Source organism: Homo sapiens, chromosome 13 (assembly GCF_000001405.40).
Source record: "Homo sapiens chromosome 13, GRCh38.p14 Primary Assembly".
NCBI classification, from domain to species: domain Eukaryota; kingdom Metazoa; phylum Chordata; class Mammalia; order Primates; family Hominidae; genus Homo; species Homo sapiens.
The window spans coordinates 44,465,146-44,481,977 of NC_000013.11; the positions used below are offsets into that span (position 1 = coordinate 44,465,146).

Sequence of the window (16,832 nt, forward strand, 5' to 3'; positions counted from 1 at the left end):
CTGAAGGAAACTTTCACGGTACTAGGACAGTATGTAACACAGGACCTTGACCTAATATGGAAATAGCATGTGTGAAGGTTTAAAGCACAGAGACAGGAATACAAGGAGAGCCTCCCAGGAAAAAAAAATGCAGGCTTAAACTTTGTCTTTACCCCCGAAGACTTTGCCAGGCTAAGAAAGCTATATTCACGTCATATGGCTGAAGCATTCCTTTTTCTAATAGGACTCTGTGGGGGGACACGAGCATGACAATGATGAGACTAATTCAGTGGTTCTCAACCTTGGATGAACTTCAGAATCATGTAGGAAGCTTTTAAAAAATACAGATGTTCAGGCTCATGCCTCAGAGATTCAGACTGTACTCATCTTGTGTGAGTCAGCTGCCACAGGTGATTTCAATGTGAAGCCAGGGCTACAAACCACTAGACCAGAGGGGGCACTGGCAGCAATCAGAGCATTGGAGAATAGCTCTTAGGAAGAAATTTTCTAAACAACAACAAAGCCCACGACTGATATTACTTATGTATTAAAAAGTTGGCAATTTGGGCCAGGCACAGTGGCTCACGCCTGTAATCCTAGCACTTTAGGAGGCCGAGGCGAGTGGATCACCTGAGGTCAAAAGTTCAAGACCAGCCTGGCCAACGTGGTGAAACCCTGTCTCTACTAAAAATACAAAAATTAGCCAGGTGTGGTGGCAGGCACCTGTAACCCCAGCCACTTGGGAGCCTGAAGCAGGAGAATCGCTTGAACCCAGGAGGCAGAGGTTGCAGTGAGCTGAGATTGTGCCATTGCACTCCAGCCTGGGCAACAAGAGCGAAACTCTGCCTCAAGAAAAAACAAACAAACAAACAAACAAACAAAACTTTGCAATTTTTAATTAGCAAATAAGACTGTTTGTTCATTTTTCCCAACAAAATTTACAAGGATATTCCTAGGACACAAGCAGGGCTGGAAATAAGCAGAGCTGCAGTGTGAGGGCCAATCCCCCAGGAGCACTCATCTAGACTTCTCAAGAAGGCAGCACATAGGGCTGGCATCCAAGGGCTAGGATTTACGATCCTCAAGAAGCTAGGGAAGGGGTATAGGGAGAGGGTGGAAGCTTAGAACTAGTACCAGAGGGATTTGGGTAAACTATTCAGTGCGACTTAGCACATACAAATAATAGCACGTACCATTTTAAAACATGGCCATCTTTGGAATGTCAAAATAAAGGACAAAAATGTACAGAGTGGTTTAAATACCATCCTATTATATGGAGGTAGATAAGTGGGTGGCAACAAAAGTTTTCAAACTTGGTAATCAGAGTCACAGGAGGGGATATTTTAAAAATACAGATTCCTTGGCCGGGCATAGTGGCTCATGCCTGTAATCCCAGCCCTTTGGGAGGCCATGGCAGGCGAATCGCTTGAGCTCAGGAGTTTAAGACCAGCCTGGACAACATAGTGAAATCTTGTCTCTACTAAAAATACAAAAAATCAACCTGGTGTTGTGATGCATACCTGTAGCCCCAGCTACTTGGGAGGCTGAGATAGGAGAATCACCTGAGCCCAGGACGTCAAGGCTGCAATGAGCTGAGATCATACCACTGCACTCCAGCCTGGGTGACAGAATGAGACCGTGTCTCAAAAAGAAAAAAAAAAGAAAACAATATATAGATTCCTGAGCCCAATGTCAAACCTTATGAATTAGAATCTCCAGAGATATAAAATAATAAATTAGCAACAATAACTGCTATGGCCGGGCATGGTGGCTCAAGCCTGTAATCCCAGCACTTTGGGAGGCCGAGGTGGGCAGATCACTTGAGGTCAGGAGTTTGAGACCAGCCTGGCCAACAAAGCGAAACCCCATTTCTACTAAAAATACAAAAATTAGCCAGGCATGGTGGTGCACACCTGTAGTCCCAGCTACCCGGAGACTGAGGCAGGAGAATTGCTTGAACACGGGAGGTGGAGGTTGCAGTCAGCCAAGATCACGCCACTGTACTCCAGCCTGGGCAACAGAGCAAGACTCCTTCTCAAAATAAACAAAAAAACAAAAAAAAATAGCTGCTATGAAGAATGAAACTGGATCCCTCCCTGTCTCTCACCATATATAAAAATTAACTTGAGATAGATTAAGGACATGGATACCTGACGTGAAACCATAAATATTCTAGAAGAAAACCCAGGACACACTTTCTGGACACTAGCCTTAGCAAATAATTTATCACTAAGATCCCAAAAGCAAGTGTAACAAAAACAAAAATAAATAAATGGGACTTACTTAAACTAAAAGCTTCTGCACAGCAAAAGAAATAACAGAGTAAACAGACAAACTACAGAATGGGAGAAAATATTTGCAAACTATACACCTGACAGAGGAATAATCTCCATAATCTACAAGGAACTCAAACAAATCAGCAAGAAAAAAAAATAACTCCGTTAAAAAGTGAGCAAAGGATATGAATAGATATTTCTCAAAAGAAGATATACAAATGGCCAAGAAACATATGGAAAAAATGCTCAACATCACTAATCATCAGGGAAATGCAAATCAAAACCACCACAATGAGATACCACCTTGCCCCAGGGAGAATGGCCATTGTTTAAAGTCAAAAAACAATGGATGCTGGCACAGATACAGTGAAAAGGGAACATTTATACACTGTTGGTGGGAAATTGGTACAACCTCTGTAGAAAACAGTATGGAGATTTCTCAGAAAACTAAAAGAAGATCTATCATTCAATCCAGCAATCCCACTACTGGGTATTTACCAAAAGGAAAAGAGTCATTATATAAAAAAGACACTAGCACTCATATGTTATCACAGCATAATTCACAATTGCAAAAATATGGGATCAACCTATACACACACGCGCACACACACACACACACACAATGGAATAAAAAGAACAGCCATATAAGAACAAAATAATATCTTTTGCAGCAACTTGGACAGAACTGGAGGCCATCATTCAAAGCAAACTCAACTCAGGAATGGAAAACCAAATACCAAATGTTCTCACCTATAAACATGAGCTAAGCCATGGGTATGCAAAGGCATACAGAGTTGTATAACGGACACTGGAGACTCAGAAGTGGGGTAGGTAGAAAGGGGGTGAGGGATAGAAAATCACCTGTTGGGTACAATGTACACTATTCGGGTGATGGGTACACTAAAAGCCCAGACTTCACCACTGTACAATTCATCTATGTAACCAAAAACCACTTGTACCCCTAAAGCTATTGAATTTTTTTTTTAAAAAAGCTGCTACCATTTATTCAGCATTTACAATATGCTAGGCAATTTTCTAAGCACTTTGTATGTATCATCTTATTTCGTTCCTGTAACAACCCTAACAGTCACCTGGGACACAGAGAAGTAACTTGCCCATAGTAGATGGATCCAGGTTTCAAAACAGTCTGTGCTCCTAACCATGACATTCTGCATTATTTAAGATACCTTCCACCTGCAACAAACCAAGTAATTTTTTGAGGTAGCTGGTATTTAATCCAGCATTTGGGAACCGCTATACTATGGGAATGTTCAAGTCGCTTTAGCCATTTCACTCTTTGAAATCAGACACAAAATCAACAGTATCTCCTATTACTGGTCTTTATATCAAGAAATATTATCATCTTTATTATGAAGAATTTATAATATGCTAAATGCACAGAAATAGTTTTCCTGTAGAAGACTGGCTTATGTCTAAGTTTGCTGTTTCTAACAAAAATAGAAATTTTATATAACATAGTTTTTTCTTAACCTCACCTAGCAAGTTGCTATGTTTTATCAATTCTGCCCTAATAATATCTTAAAGGCTTTTAAATTCTTTCTGTATTCCTACTGACATCACACTAATTCAGATTTATATCATAAAACTTCCAGATTATTGATTGCCATATCATCTCAACTGGTCCATCTGGCTCCAATCTCTCTCCAGCTGGATCCAAGCAAATGCACCCTGCGCTTTCAGGCTAATTTTCTTAAAACATTTCCTGCCTGTCACCCATGCAATTACAAGTCTGTTAATGATTACAGGGTACCTACAGGGTAAGCCCCCAATCTTTATAACCAGGCATTCAAGATCTATAAGTACCCACCGCCTACCCATCTCCGGCTTCCCTTTCCTAAATTCAACTACAGTACAGTTTTTAATCCAAAATTCCTTCATAAAGACAAATACATCTTAAGCCACATTTAAAATGAGAAAAGTATTTAAATTGTGGGCTAATTCTTTAAATCCGTTTTAATAAAATTCTAGCTATCTTGGAGTTAAATGTTCAAATCTCATACTACTTCAAATGAGCTGCTTTTACTAATAGCTCTTAAACTTTTGGCAGAATATGTAGGAGGATGTTCTTAACACAAATTAAGCTCTTGCATCTGATCTTTCTGGTAATCTTGAAGTTCAGAGTTAGTTTTAGATGTCCAATTACTCAAAAACTCTGCCCCAAAGCAACAGGGAGGGTGTAGACTGTGTTTTAAAGCACGAATCTTGTATAATTCACTGAGCCAGTTTGTCAGACTTGAATTGTATTATTTTTACTTGAAAACACATAGTACCATGCCAAGAGGAAAATGTACCCAATCCTAGAAGTACAAGCTAGTGAAATTTATCTATCTATTTAAGTCATGAAAGTTCCACTTACTCGTCTACTATGAAGTTTAAAAAAAAGTTCTACTACCAAGCAGAACTGAGAAGAGTCAATTGACGATGCCCTAATATCCATTTCAGGTGGAGCTAATTTATCAGTTATTTCCTGTGGCTTCTCTGGAGCTCTTATAAAAGTTCTCCATTACCCCTTGAGGACTGAATTTAAGATGAGGGGGGAAATATGATGATTTATGCAGCCATCATGCAAAATCCATATGAGTAAGAAAGTGACAGGTAGATAAACATTTTAGAGAGCCAGAGAAAGGATTGCTGCTGGAAACCATGCCCTCTCCTCTCCCCTTAAGGTAGGGCTCAACTGTTGCTTTCTTAGTGCTTATGTGATGTTAAACTGATTCATCTTTTAAAAGATTAGAAAAATATGCAAGTAATTAATGAAGGGAACAAATATGAAAGAAAACTTCCCCCTAGTCAAATCTTTTATAACAGGTTCGCAGAACAACTCCAGACCTGGAAGCCTGTGGAAAGGGAAACACAGTATCCACTAATGAGCAAACCAAGAAGTCCAAAGGATGAAGATTTTACCCACTGCTTGTTGTATCACCAATAAAGGCATAAACTGCCTTGAAACAGCTCTCCAATTACCAGAGCAGGTAATTGGATTCGAAAGGAAAATAGATTCGCGTCTGGCCACATCCTTTATAATTATTATTATCTCATTCATACAAATGATGTACAACTCAGAGTCTAAAATATTTTTATAGGAAAGATTCCTTAAAGTTGCTCCATGAGCAGTTAGATTTGTTTCTAATATTTCTCATAACTACAGAACTCATTCCTCATGGTCTGGTGCTACCTTTACGATACTGGTGTTTGAAGAAGAAATTTTAAGGCCTCATAGTTTATTTTCCTTCCCCCAAATACCCTGTGTCACAAAAGCCGCTGGGAGAAGGCAATGTCTGCCTTCATTTGCTATTTAATTTTGCAGGAAAGCAGCCATGTTGTACCACACCAGAGGCTGGCACTTCACATGATTCACTTCACCTCCAATAGGAAAAAAATGCAGATAAAGCAAAAAGCAAGTTGACGTCAGACCCAGCTTTTAAGAGTCACGGTCCAGAGTCTCTGCTGGGACCAGTCCTTATTCCCTCCACACTACTGTTACTGACCACTCCATCTTAATCACATCCAATAATACATTCAAATGGCTCACTGACAACAGATAAGTTATATTCTACTGCTTAAGAAATCAGGAAATGTGAAATATAGTTTAGTTTTCCATCAAAAAAGTTAAAATTTAAAAGTTCTGGCATATAAAGTGTGTAATAGCCAACTATCTGGAAAACTTAGATTTTAGATAACCAATGGTTTGCTGTTCATCAAAGCAAAAAGAATCTACAAAATACAATCCTGCCACCTTGTGGTACCTGTTCAAAAGTACTTCATACTTTACCATAAATTTTCTAATTTTAAAAAATGTGCTTATTTGAAAAAATATTAATCAAGATAAAGTTATTTTAAAATATTAAATACTCATGCTGACATTAGCTAAAATGCACTGAAATTTGTTTGAAATGAAATTATTTCTCAGGTCAAAACTAAATTATCTCTTCCAACATAAGATGTGGAAATGCAATTGTGTAGCACTTGGATCTCTTGATAAACTCTTACCATCACACTTTCCTTTCTGACAGTTAAATAGCCGGAATGTTAAATAAATAGAACTGCAAAACTTACTAGATAGCATTGCTTGATCAATTTTTAACTACAAGTAGAGATTAAGTATGGTAAATTTCTATATCTTTACTAAACTTATAATTTTTAGATTGTTCAGACTCTTCAATGAACCTAAATAGACTTAAGTTTCTTAACATCATATTGACGTATAAGAGAATAGTTCTAAAACAGTGAATTAAAATACAGAACCACTGGCAGTTTCAGAGCATCATCTACAATAATTACTTTTAGAAAATTGTTAAGTGATGACTAAGTCTCCTTTGACAAATAAAATATTGAAAGCTTATCCTGTGAAAATATAAACTACCAATTACAGGAGTCCTCCCTTATCTGTGGTTTCACTTTCCATAATTTTAGTTACCTATACTCCAAAAATATTAAGTGGAAAATTCCAGAAATAAGTCATAAATGTTAAATTATGTGCTGAAATCCTCCCTTTGTCCAGCAGATCCACATTGTATACACTACTTGCCCATTAGTCACCCAGTAACTGTCTCAGTTATCAGATCCACTGTCAGCGTGTCAAAGTGATTGGAGGATTCAAGTAACCCTTATTTTACTTCATAGCCCCAAAGTGCAAGAGTAGTAATGCTGGCATATTGTTATAATTGTTCTATTACTGTTGTTGTTAATCTCTTACTGTGCCTAATTTATAAATTAAGCTTTATCAGAGGTATGTATGTATAGGGAAAAAACATACTGAATATTGGTTTTGATCCTATCCTCAGTTGCAGGCATCCATGGGGAGTCTTAGAATGTGACCCCTGGAATAAAGAGGGGTCACAAATGCAAAGATAAACTGTGGCATTTTTCTGTTATACAGCATCCTTTGAATTCTTCTATTTAACAAATACTGGTCATCTCTTTTGTCTCACAACTTGAGAACTGTTCCTTTTTTTTCATATGAGACAGCATGTTTTACTTTGCACACTGGTATCAATCCTTCAGACACTCTCAACCATTGACATATCTGATTTCTGTCTCCCCTCTCACCCACTCACTCACTCAACAAACATATGAGGACCTGCTATGTGTACCAGGTCCCTAAAACGGAAACATGAAAAAGCATAGTCCTCGCCTGTAACCCCAATATTGTGGGAGGCTGAGGTGGGCAGATCACTTGAGTCCGGGAATTTGAGACCACCCTGGACAAAATGGTGAAACCCTGGCTATACAATTAACCGGTTGTGGTGGCATGTGCCTGTAGACCCAGCTACCCTGGAGGCTGAGGTGGGAGGACTGCCTTTGCCTGAGCCTGGGAGGTTGAGACTGCAGTGAGCCATGACCTAATCTTCAAGGAAAGGCAATTTTCTTTGTTTTGAGGTATATATTTTTGAACATTCCTTCTATCCCTCAAATTCTTCTCAAAATAAGCTCCACATCTAATTGTACAACTGCAGTAGTCCATTTTCATGCTGTGGATAAAGACCTGAGATTGGGCAATTTAAAAAAGAAAGAGATTTACTTGGACTTGCAGTTCCACGTGGCCAGGGAAGCCCAATTATGACGGAAGGCAAGGAAGAGCAAGTCACGTCTTACATAGATGGCAGTAGGCAAAGAGAGAGAGCTTGTGCAGGGGAATTCCTCTTTTTAAAACGGAATTGCAGACCCAATGTACATCTTTTATTCAAACTGATTAATGCATTTTTAGATTTAAAATATTAAATTTATTAAATAATATTAAATCTACCAATCACTCAAGTATTTTACATTCATTTAAAACTATACAACTGGAGGCCAGGCACAACGGCACAGGCCTGTAATCCCAGCACGTTGGGAGGCCAACGCAGGTGGATCACTTGAGGTCAGGAGTTTGAGACCAGCCTGAGCAACATGGTGAAAACCCATCTCTACAAAAAATACAAAAATTAGCTGGGCATGGTGGCACACACCTGTAGTCCCAGCTACTTGGAAGGCTGAGGCAGGAGGATCTCTTGAGCCCAGGAGGTCGAGGTTGCAGTGAACCAAGATCATGCCACTGGACTCCAGCCTGGGCGACAGAGCAAGACCCCTGACTCTAAAAATAAAAAATAAATAAATAAATAAAAATAAAACTGTACAATTGGATGAGTACTTTTGTCAGCATGCAAATCAGTTTAAGTTATACAAACAGTAGAAGCAGTATATATGTGTGTGTGTGTGTGTGTGTATATATTTAGCATAGATGTATATATTTTTAAATTAAGCTAGTCAGGCCAGCTTTATTAAGCATTCACAAAAATCCACATTTCAAAAGAACCATGCAACTGATGGTTTACATATAATTTGAGGACCTCTATTCCTAAGACAAACTAAAGTACAGCTAACATCATCTTTAATTATAGACTAATTAAGCTAATGTTTTCTGATAGAAAGGCTCAATATAATACTCAATCTTTTACAATTTTAAGCCAATTTGTAATGGCTTCAACTGAGGAGTCCAACAAATTAAAAAGCTGTTATGCAACTAAATGTTTAAAGATCTTAAGCTAAAAAAGGACTATACAATTCATCTCAGTTAACCAGTAAAAAATTTCTATCATGATCTCCAAATAATCCTCCAAGTGATTTTTAAAATAGCTTTAAAATTTTTCCAGCTGGGAAAAACAAAGCAAAGAACTAAAATGGCTGAACTGAACCTTATTTCACCCTCCAAGCTGAGTATTTAGAAACCAACTGCTTTTCAAGGTACTAGGCAGGACTTAGGACAACTGAGAGACAATTCCTTCCACAATTATTTGAATTACAGTGAGGTACTCACAGCAGGATTATCACTAGACTATAGGAAAAGCTTCACGCTACAGACTATGGTGGCTTTCTTGGGCCTCTCTTCCCACCCAGGCCCAACTGACACTCCTGGTGGACAAACAAGTGCTTCAGGAAGTAGTCCCAAAATTCCATCTGTCCCCTAAGGCAGTTTCTACTTAAAGGGGCAGTGGTCCAATTTATTTATGATGACTCATTACTTCAAAGAGAACAAAAATACTATGAATATAGTGATTTGTTATGTTTCAAGCATTTTAAAAGGCATGGGTGATTTTCTTTAGGTTTTCTTAGAGTGCAACAAGTTAATAACATAAGACCTCTACAGATCATTTCGTCTTGATCCCAAAATCAGGAAAATCTAGTGAGGGTTTTCCCCACTTTTGACACACTTATGTCAGAGGTGAAAAAACAATAAGGATGCAAGAATGGAAGGAAGGAGAAGAGGAAGAGAAAGGATGAAGGAAGGGTTAAAAATAAGAATGGAGGGAAGAAGGAGGGAGAGGAGATGAAGAAAGGGAGGTAGGGGAAGGAGGACGGGAGGAGAGTAAAAGGAGGGAGGGAGAGGAAAGGGAAGAAAAACTAACCAGACAAGTAAACCAAAACCCAGGCAAGCAGGTATCAAGAAGCCTCAGAAATGTAGAAACGAGATATCTGACAACTTTTTCATTCCCAGTACAATAAGGCCTCATTGTACTTCCTGCAATTTATATCTTAGATATTCTACTCTAGCCCTAGAAATATACTATCTTATTGGAGCAGAGGTGGGGAAGGGGCGGGAAACAAAAAGAAATCTACAATTCTTTGTTTTTCTATTATTTAAACAGTCTGCAATGTTGTTCCAGAAGGTAGACAAGAGACTGATAAAACCAACCAAAAAAACAAGTGAAAGGAATAAAAGCAGAATGGTATTAATTATGAGACGGAAAATGTATGTAATTAGTAAGTAAATATACAAGTTGGATCTCCTTAAAAAAATAAACTTGAGAAAATTAAAAAAATTTTGTAGTAGAAAAAAGATAATCCAAAGGGTCCAACATCACAAAAGTAGTTTTAAATTATAAGAATGAAATGAACAATGACAAATGTAGCATATATTAAAACTGCAGGATGCATCTAAAGTAGCACTTAGGGGAAATGTATAGTCTTGAACATTAGAATAAAGCCTAAAGATTATTGGGATAAGGATTTCAAGGAAACTGGCAGGGTGGGAGGGTCAGGAGAGGGAGGTAAAACAAACAAAAGCAAAAAAAAAAAAAAATTCAAGAAAGGAGATAAAGACAACAGCAAAAACTGTTAAAATAGAAAACAAGCATATATTAGAAGATCAACAAAACCAAAAATTGGCTGTATGAAAAAGACCATAAACCAGCAAGCCGCCAGTATAATTTAATCAAGAAAAAAAGAGAAGGCAGAAATAAGCAGTATCAGGAACGAAAAAAATATGTAACCATAATTTAAGAGATATAGATTAAATGGTCAAATAGAAAAAATATAACTTACTGAAACAAAGAGATATAAAGTCTGAATAGTCCTATATTGCCATCATATAAAATTAAATCAATATAATAGTGAAAAATATTTCCTCAAATAAAACTCCCAGACTAGATAGCTCCACCAAAAAGTCCTACAAAGCACTAAGTGACCCAGCTCAGCCAGTCCCTGCAATGGCCAAAGGAAAGATCAACAACAAAGCCCAACAAAAGTGGCAGTCTCCAGTGAAAATGACAAAACCTTAGTACATGGCCAGAAGAAAAAAATTAAAATTAATGCCATGTGGTTGACACCCAGAGCTCTGCATGAACCATATAATATACTCTGGGGACTCCAAAAAATATTTGGAAGAGGCACTGGTATCCCACATTAGGTGGGGGCTACATGGATTATAATTAATAAAAACTAATATTCTAATGAAAACTGTTTACATCTTAAGGGATATGGAGTTTTCAAATATTAGCTGAGATGTGATTATTGACATATACATAAATTAAGTATTACTCCCAGTCTATCCAACTTTCTACTTTAATAGTTATATAAGCTATATACAAACTGTAGGGAAACTTGTGTTGTGTCCAGGAATTTAAATATAAAAATACATTATGTTTATTATAAAACAGAATCATTAATACTGTATCAGTCAACAATTATATAAATTATTTGTAACTTGAAATAAACAGAATAATGAAGTGATTTTTTTCTTTTTGTTGATTATTATCTAATAAAAAATATCAATATACAAAAACAGGGATGATGTGCTCTATTTTAAAAAAAGAAAGTTATCAAGAGTGCCCATAAACTGCATGATCTGACACTTGAATTATGAAAAATAAATCTTATACTTGAAGTCAACCTTTAATTTAAAAATCATAGACAATTATGAGTCAAAGGGAAATTTTATGATGGCTGTTTTCTATAGTTAGTAATTACAATCTACATTAAAAATCAAATTTCTTTTTATATTTTCTTTTTCTTTTAGAGACAGGGTCTTGCTGTGTCACTCAGGCTGGAGTGCAGTGGCATGATCATGGCTCACTGCAGCCTCAACCTCCTGGGCTCATGTGATCCTCCTGCCTCAGCAGCCCAAGTAGCTGGGACTACAGGTGCATGCCACCAATTTTTTAATTTTTTGTAGAGATGGGGGTCTTGATATGTTGCCCAGGCTGGTCTCAAAACCCCTGGTCTCAAGCAATCCTCCTGCCTCAGCCTCCCAAAGTGCTGGGATTACAGGCACGAGTTGCCACACCTGGCCTGTTTTTTGTTTGTTTGTTTGTTTTATTTTGAGCAGAGTTTTGCTCTGTCGCCCAGGCTGGAGGTCCAGTGGCACGATCTTGGCTAACTGCAACCTCCACCTCCCAGGTTCAAATGATTTTCGTGCCTCAGCCTGCCAAGTAGCTGGCTAATTTTTGTATTTTTAGTAGAGACGGGGTTTCACCATGTTGGCCAGGCTGGTCTCCAACTCCTGGCCTCAAGTGATCCACCCGCCTTGGCCTCCCAAAGTGCTGGGACTGCAGGCGTGAGCCACCATGCCTGGCCAACCTGACCTATATTTTCTCAAACACAAACATTTTACTAAGACTATATTAGACTATCCTAGTCACTGATTGATTTTAAAAATTTAAAGATTGTTGCATGGATCTTCCCAGATGGAATATATTTAACAATAAAATACAATCACTGCAAAAATAAGAATCCATTATTTTTCCTGAAACAATATATATTATTTATATATAATAATGGCTCCCTTTCATTTCTGGGCATTTAAACGTCTAATTCTGCCTGAAAGGCATGTCCTTCCATGGTACACCTTTTCTAGTTTATAACTCTGATCACTCTTTGGATCTCAGGAAGTTCCTTCCTGAAGTGAGCCTTGCATGAACCCTTAGATCAAGTGAGGTCTCCCTATCAAATGTGCTCATAGATTTTTTTTTTTTTTTTTTTTTGAGACGGAGTCTTGCTCTGTCGCCCAGGCTGGAGTGCAGTGGGCATGATCTCGGCTCACTGCAACCTCCGCCTCCTGGGCTCAAGTGATTCTCCTGCCTCGGCCTCCTGAGTAGTTGGGCTTACAGGCGGGTGCCACCACGCCTGGCTAATTTTTGTATTTTTAGTAGAGACAGGATTTCACCTTGGTGGCCAGGCTGGTCTCAAACTCCTGACCTAGTGATCTGCCCGCCTCAGCCTCCCAAAGTGCTGGGATTACAGGCGTGAGCCACTGCGCCCAGCCTGCTAATAGATTTAAATACCATTCCTTAAGAGACAGAAGAAGAGACCATGAAGAACACAGAAGTATTAACACTATTTTAAAGTAAAGTCCTTATATAAAAAGCAAATAGTAAAATAATAAGTATAATAATAATAATAAGTAAAATAATGTCTATAGATTCCTTGGGAAAACTAGGAGAAAATTTAAAAGCAGAACTATTTTTAAATTACTTAAACAGTTAAATCACAACATTCTCTTAGAGATGCCAGAAAATTCTGCAAGCCTTAAGTTACAAGAAATATTAAAATTTACTCACATTTAAAATTTACTTACATTTCTGTATGTTTTATACAGAAAAAATACATGTAGAATAATATTACTAATATTGAACTCCACACACTAAGTACTTTATACGTATATTACCTCATGTAATCCTCATGATAACTCTAACTTTGTTTTACCATTTTATAGGCAGAAAAACTGAGACACAGAAAGACTAAATAACATGCCCAAGTTCATAGGCATAAATTAATAATTTTTTGTCAGGCTTGGAACCTGGCAGTCTGATGCCAGAGTGTATATGCTTTATTGTCTCTACAAAGAATAAAATAAATAGGAAGCTCAAAATCTGGGGGGGAAGGGTAAAATAATGGGGTATTTGAATTTTTTCACATTTTTCATGCATAGCAATTCTTTACATAATTAAAATGAGCCAATGATAGTAAATTTACACCACATTCCAAAACATAAGCCACCATCAAACTATTTATGGAAAACTCATGATTAGTTTGTTTACCACACTCTACCACGGTATCTAGTTTTCCTACTATGGACGCCACCCAGCAAGAGAGCCCAGTATGCAGACATGGACACTAATTGTCAAACAGCACTAGGTAGGGATTTCTGGCAGTGAACCAAAAGAAACGAGATTAATGAATTTTTGCTATGTCTGATATATAAACAAACACACAGGTAGTGTGTGTGTGTGTGTGTGTATTTATGTATGTGTGTATGTTTACGTGTGTGTTTGTGTATGTGTGTAGCTTTTCAGTCAGGCTCTCTATCCTGTATCATCAAAGATTATAGGTCTCTGAATATTACTGAATAAAAAATATTAAGCCCTCTTACTTGGTCCTAGATGGCCCTAGGAGCAGATCCAATGAAATAAACTACACAAGAGTGACTGATACTAAAAAACACCAGAACTAGGTTATCTATGAATGGAAAATGCATCTGTGTATCTAGAATCAGCAACCCTAACCTTTAGCACACAGTCTAGAAACTTGAAGAATGAAAACCAACCTCTACACCAAGCTTGCCCAACCCACGGGCATGGCCCAGGACAGCTTTGAATGCGGCCTAACTCGTGAACTTTCTTAAAACAGTATGAGATCTTTCTGTGATTTTTTTTTTTTTTTTTTTAGCTCACCAGCTATCATTAGTGTTAGTGTATTTTACGTGCGGCCCAAGACAATTCTTCTTCCAGCGTGGCCCAGGGAAACCAAAAGATTGGACACCCCTACTCTAAACAGTTCAAAAAGCTCTCATAAAGCCACTGTACCAAAGCAATATACTGTGCTTTTAAGATCTTGTTAGAAAATTATTGACTTGTATATCGTATAATCCTTAAAACTTAATTATCTGGCTTCCTGGGTTTCAGGAAAGTAAAAGCAACTAAACAAAAATGGCAAGCTGTTACCAGCCACATACACCAGCATTCTCAAGAAGAGATAGCTTTCAACCTAATAAGACAAAAAGTAAGTACTGGCCACCAAATGAGACAACTCATCACCTGTATGCTAAATCTGAGTCACTAAGGACACACAGTCTTCTCAGAAGGTTAAAACAAGATTAGATAAAAGTTTAAGCTTCAATTTCTGTGTATCAAATACTCAAACCAATGAAAAATCAGGTAAATAAGTTGTTACTATTCAGAATCTACAGCATGCCATCCTATTATTTATTTAGGACTAAAATGGAAAAAGTCTATGATTCTAGGCTGGCCCTATCAAGGACTGCTGTATGAAAATTTTATTTCAAAAATAGCAGATGGAAGACACAGCTCTGTATTTAACAAACATGAAACTATTAAGCCACCATTTGAGAGCATTCAATGAATAAATACTGAGAAATATTAAATTTGAAAAATAGTGTTAATAACAAGACTGATAAGTTTGGATCTTTTTTTTAAATTGAATGTATAAGATGTGTACAAGTTCCAAAATGTTATCAACAGCACCTGAAAAAACTTTCCTTTAAATTGAGCAACTGTAAAAGACAAAGATCTTAAAAGTATTTCATTTTAATATAGCATGAATTTAACATTCATTAACATTAAAAAATTAAGATTGGAAAATCAATTTTCTTATGGTTTTGGCATTTTTTTAAGACAACAGGGTAATGCTATTAATTCCTTGGGAATTAGTGATTGCTGATAAATTCATTTTTACATATAAAAGTATTAGTTGAACACTTAATACTATAAAAATTGTAGGTGCCTGGGACATAAAGATTCTAATGAAAGAAATAGACATGAATCAAATAATTATAATATAGGAAATTCTCTCACAGATGAGAGATGAAGGCAGCAGCGATCCCAGGACCAGCTGTTGAGAATAAAGTAGAATTTAGGATGATGCAGGGTTTGGGCTTAAGGTAGAGTACATGTTGGTACTAGTAGCTGTGAGAGAATACAGGAGGGGTGGATTATGTGAAAACAGGAATAAATAAGAGGCTGTTTGGAGGAGACATCCAAGTAGATATGTTCACAGGGAAATTGAAGACACTCCAGACAACTCTAGAATTTCTACAAAGGAGTCCAGGGACAGGGGTTAGGAGACACTTCTTGAGGCCAAGTTTCCATACTAACCACACTCCTTTTACATAAATGTTTGTTTTTTGGTTGTTTTACATAGATTGTATGCTTACTCAGTGAAGCTTTCATGTGTAACAGGTCATAGAGATTATGGGGGGCTGCTGCCTACACCCTCTTCCCCTTGTGTTATGAGCGGCTGAATTGGGTTCCACAGATAAATTGGGTCGCTGGAGTACAAAGAAAACCTACTATAAAAAGAAGGGAGGCCAAGCAACAGAACCTAGGGAAACACCAACGTTTAAGAGAGCTGGGGAGAGAAGCCAAACAAATAGTAAATGAGACTGAAAAGGAGAAGGCCAAGAGACAGAAGGAGAACCAGAAGAGACTGGTGCACTGGAGCCAACAGAGGAGAACTTCAGGAAGTAACAGGCAGCAATGCCAAAGATACAGAGAGATCAAATGAGACAAGAAGGATGGAAATGGGATCCTCGGGGCTTGAGACTTCGCAGTTAGGAAGTCATTGGTGACATCTGCAGAAAAAGCTTGGGGTGGGAGGTGGTAAGGAAAAAGGAACAGCCACACCACAGCAGTGTAGATGAATGGGTAAAATGAGGAAGACAGGTAACTGGTGAGGGGTGGGTGGTTCTGGTTCACTTAGGTTGTCAATAAAGTGGAAAAGATTAAACAAGAGATGATATATCCTGATAAAGCAAAGTCCCAGAGAACACAGGAAGGAATGAGCTATTTACCATTTGACATAGAAATTTAAATTAGCGTGTGATGAGAACACTAGCCTCAGTCAGTGTAATAACTGTGATACAGACACTTTCATTTGTTCATTCAAATATTTACAAGCATCTACTATGCTCAGGAACAATACTCGGTGCTGATCATTTACCAACAGAGCCCACCTAACTCCACCCACCCTGAAGGCTGGATATATCTACAGTCGTGGTCCATGATGCTGGCAGATAACATGAAATCAACAAATACTTCTAATAATCCACAAGTGGATTTCATCCTCTTTATGTCCTCCTAGAATGTGCAATGGGCCATACTACCAAAAAATTATAGCAATAATAACAAAGTCGGTGGGGGACATGCAATCTAGGTCCAATGTAGAAAGTATTCCTCCTTTGAATTAAAAAAAATTCTGTATATTTAGCAATCACATACAAATATTACTGACTGAACCATTATTCCCAGTTAAAACTCTTCACGTTTCTATTCCATCCTCAATTAT

General features: G+C 37.7%; 1 protein-coding gene across 5 annotated transcripts in view; it reads right to left on the bottom strand.

The window, feature by feature from the left end:
* The window catches only part of TSC22D1 (TSC22 domain family member 1), a 145,202-nt gene that overhangs the window by 33,003 nt on the left and 95,367 nt on the right, over positions 1 to 16,832 (bottom strand). Inside the window, exon 1 of one of the 5 annotated variants that reach the window (NM_001243798.2) lies at positions 9,073 to 9,196. The exons of the other annotated variants lie outside the window; for them this stretch is intronic. The gene's annotated coding sequence lies outside the window, so the exon portion shown is untranslated. Of the gene's footprint in view, positions 1 to 9,072; positions 9,197 to 16,832 lie in introns of those variants that run through there. 5 annotated transcript variants of the gene reach the window in all.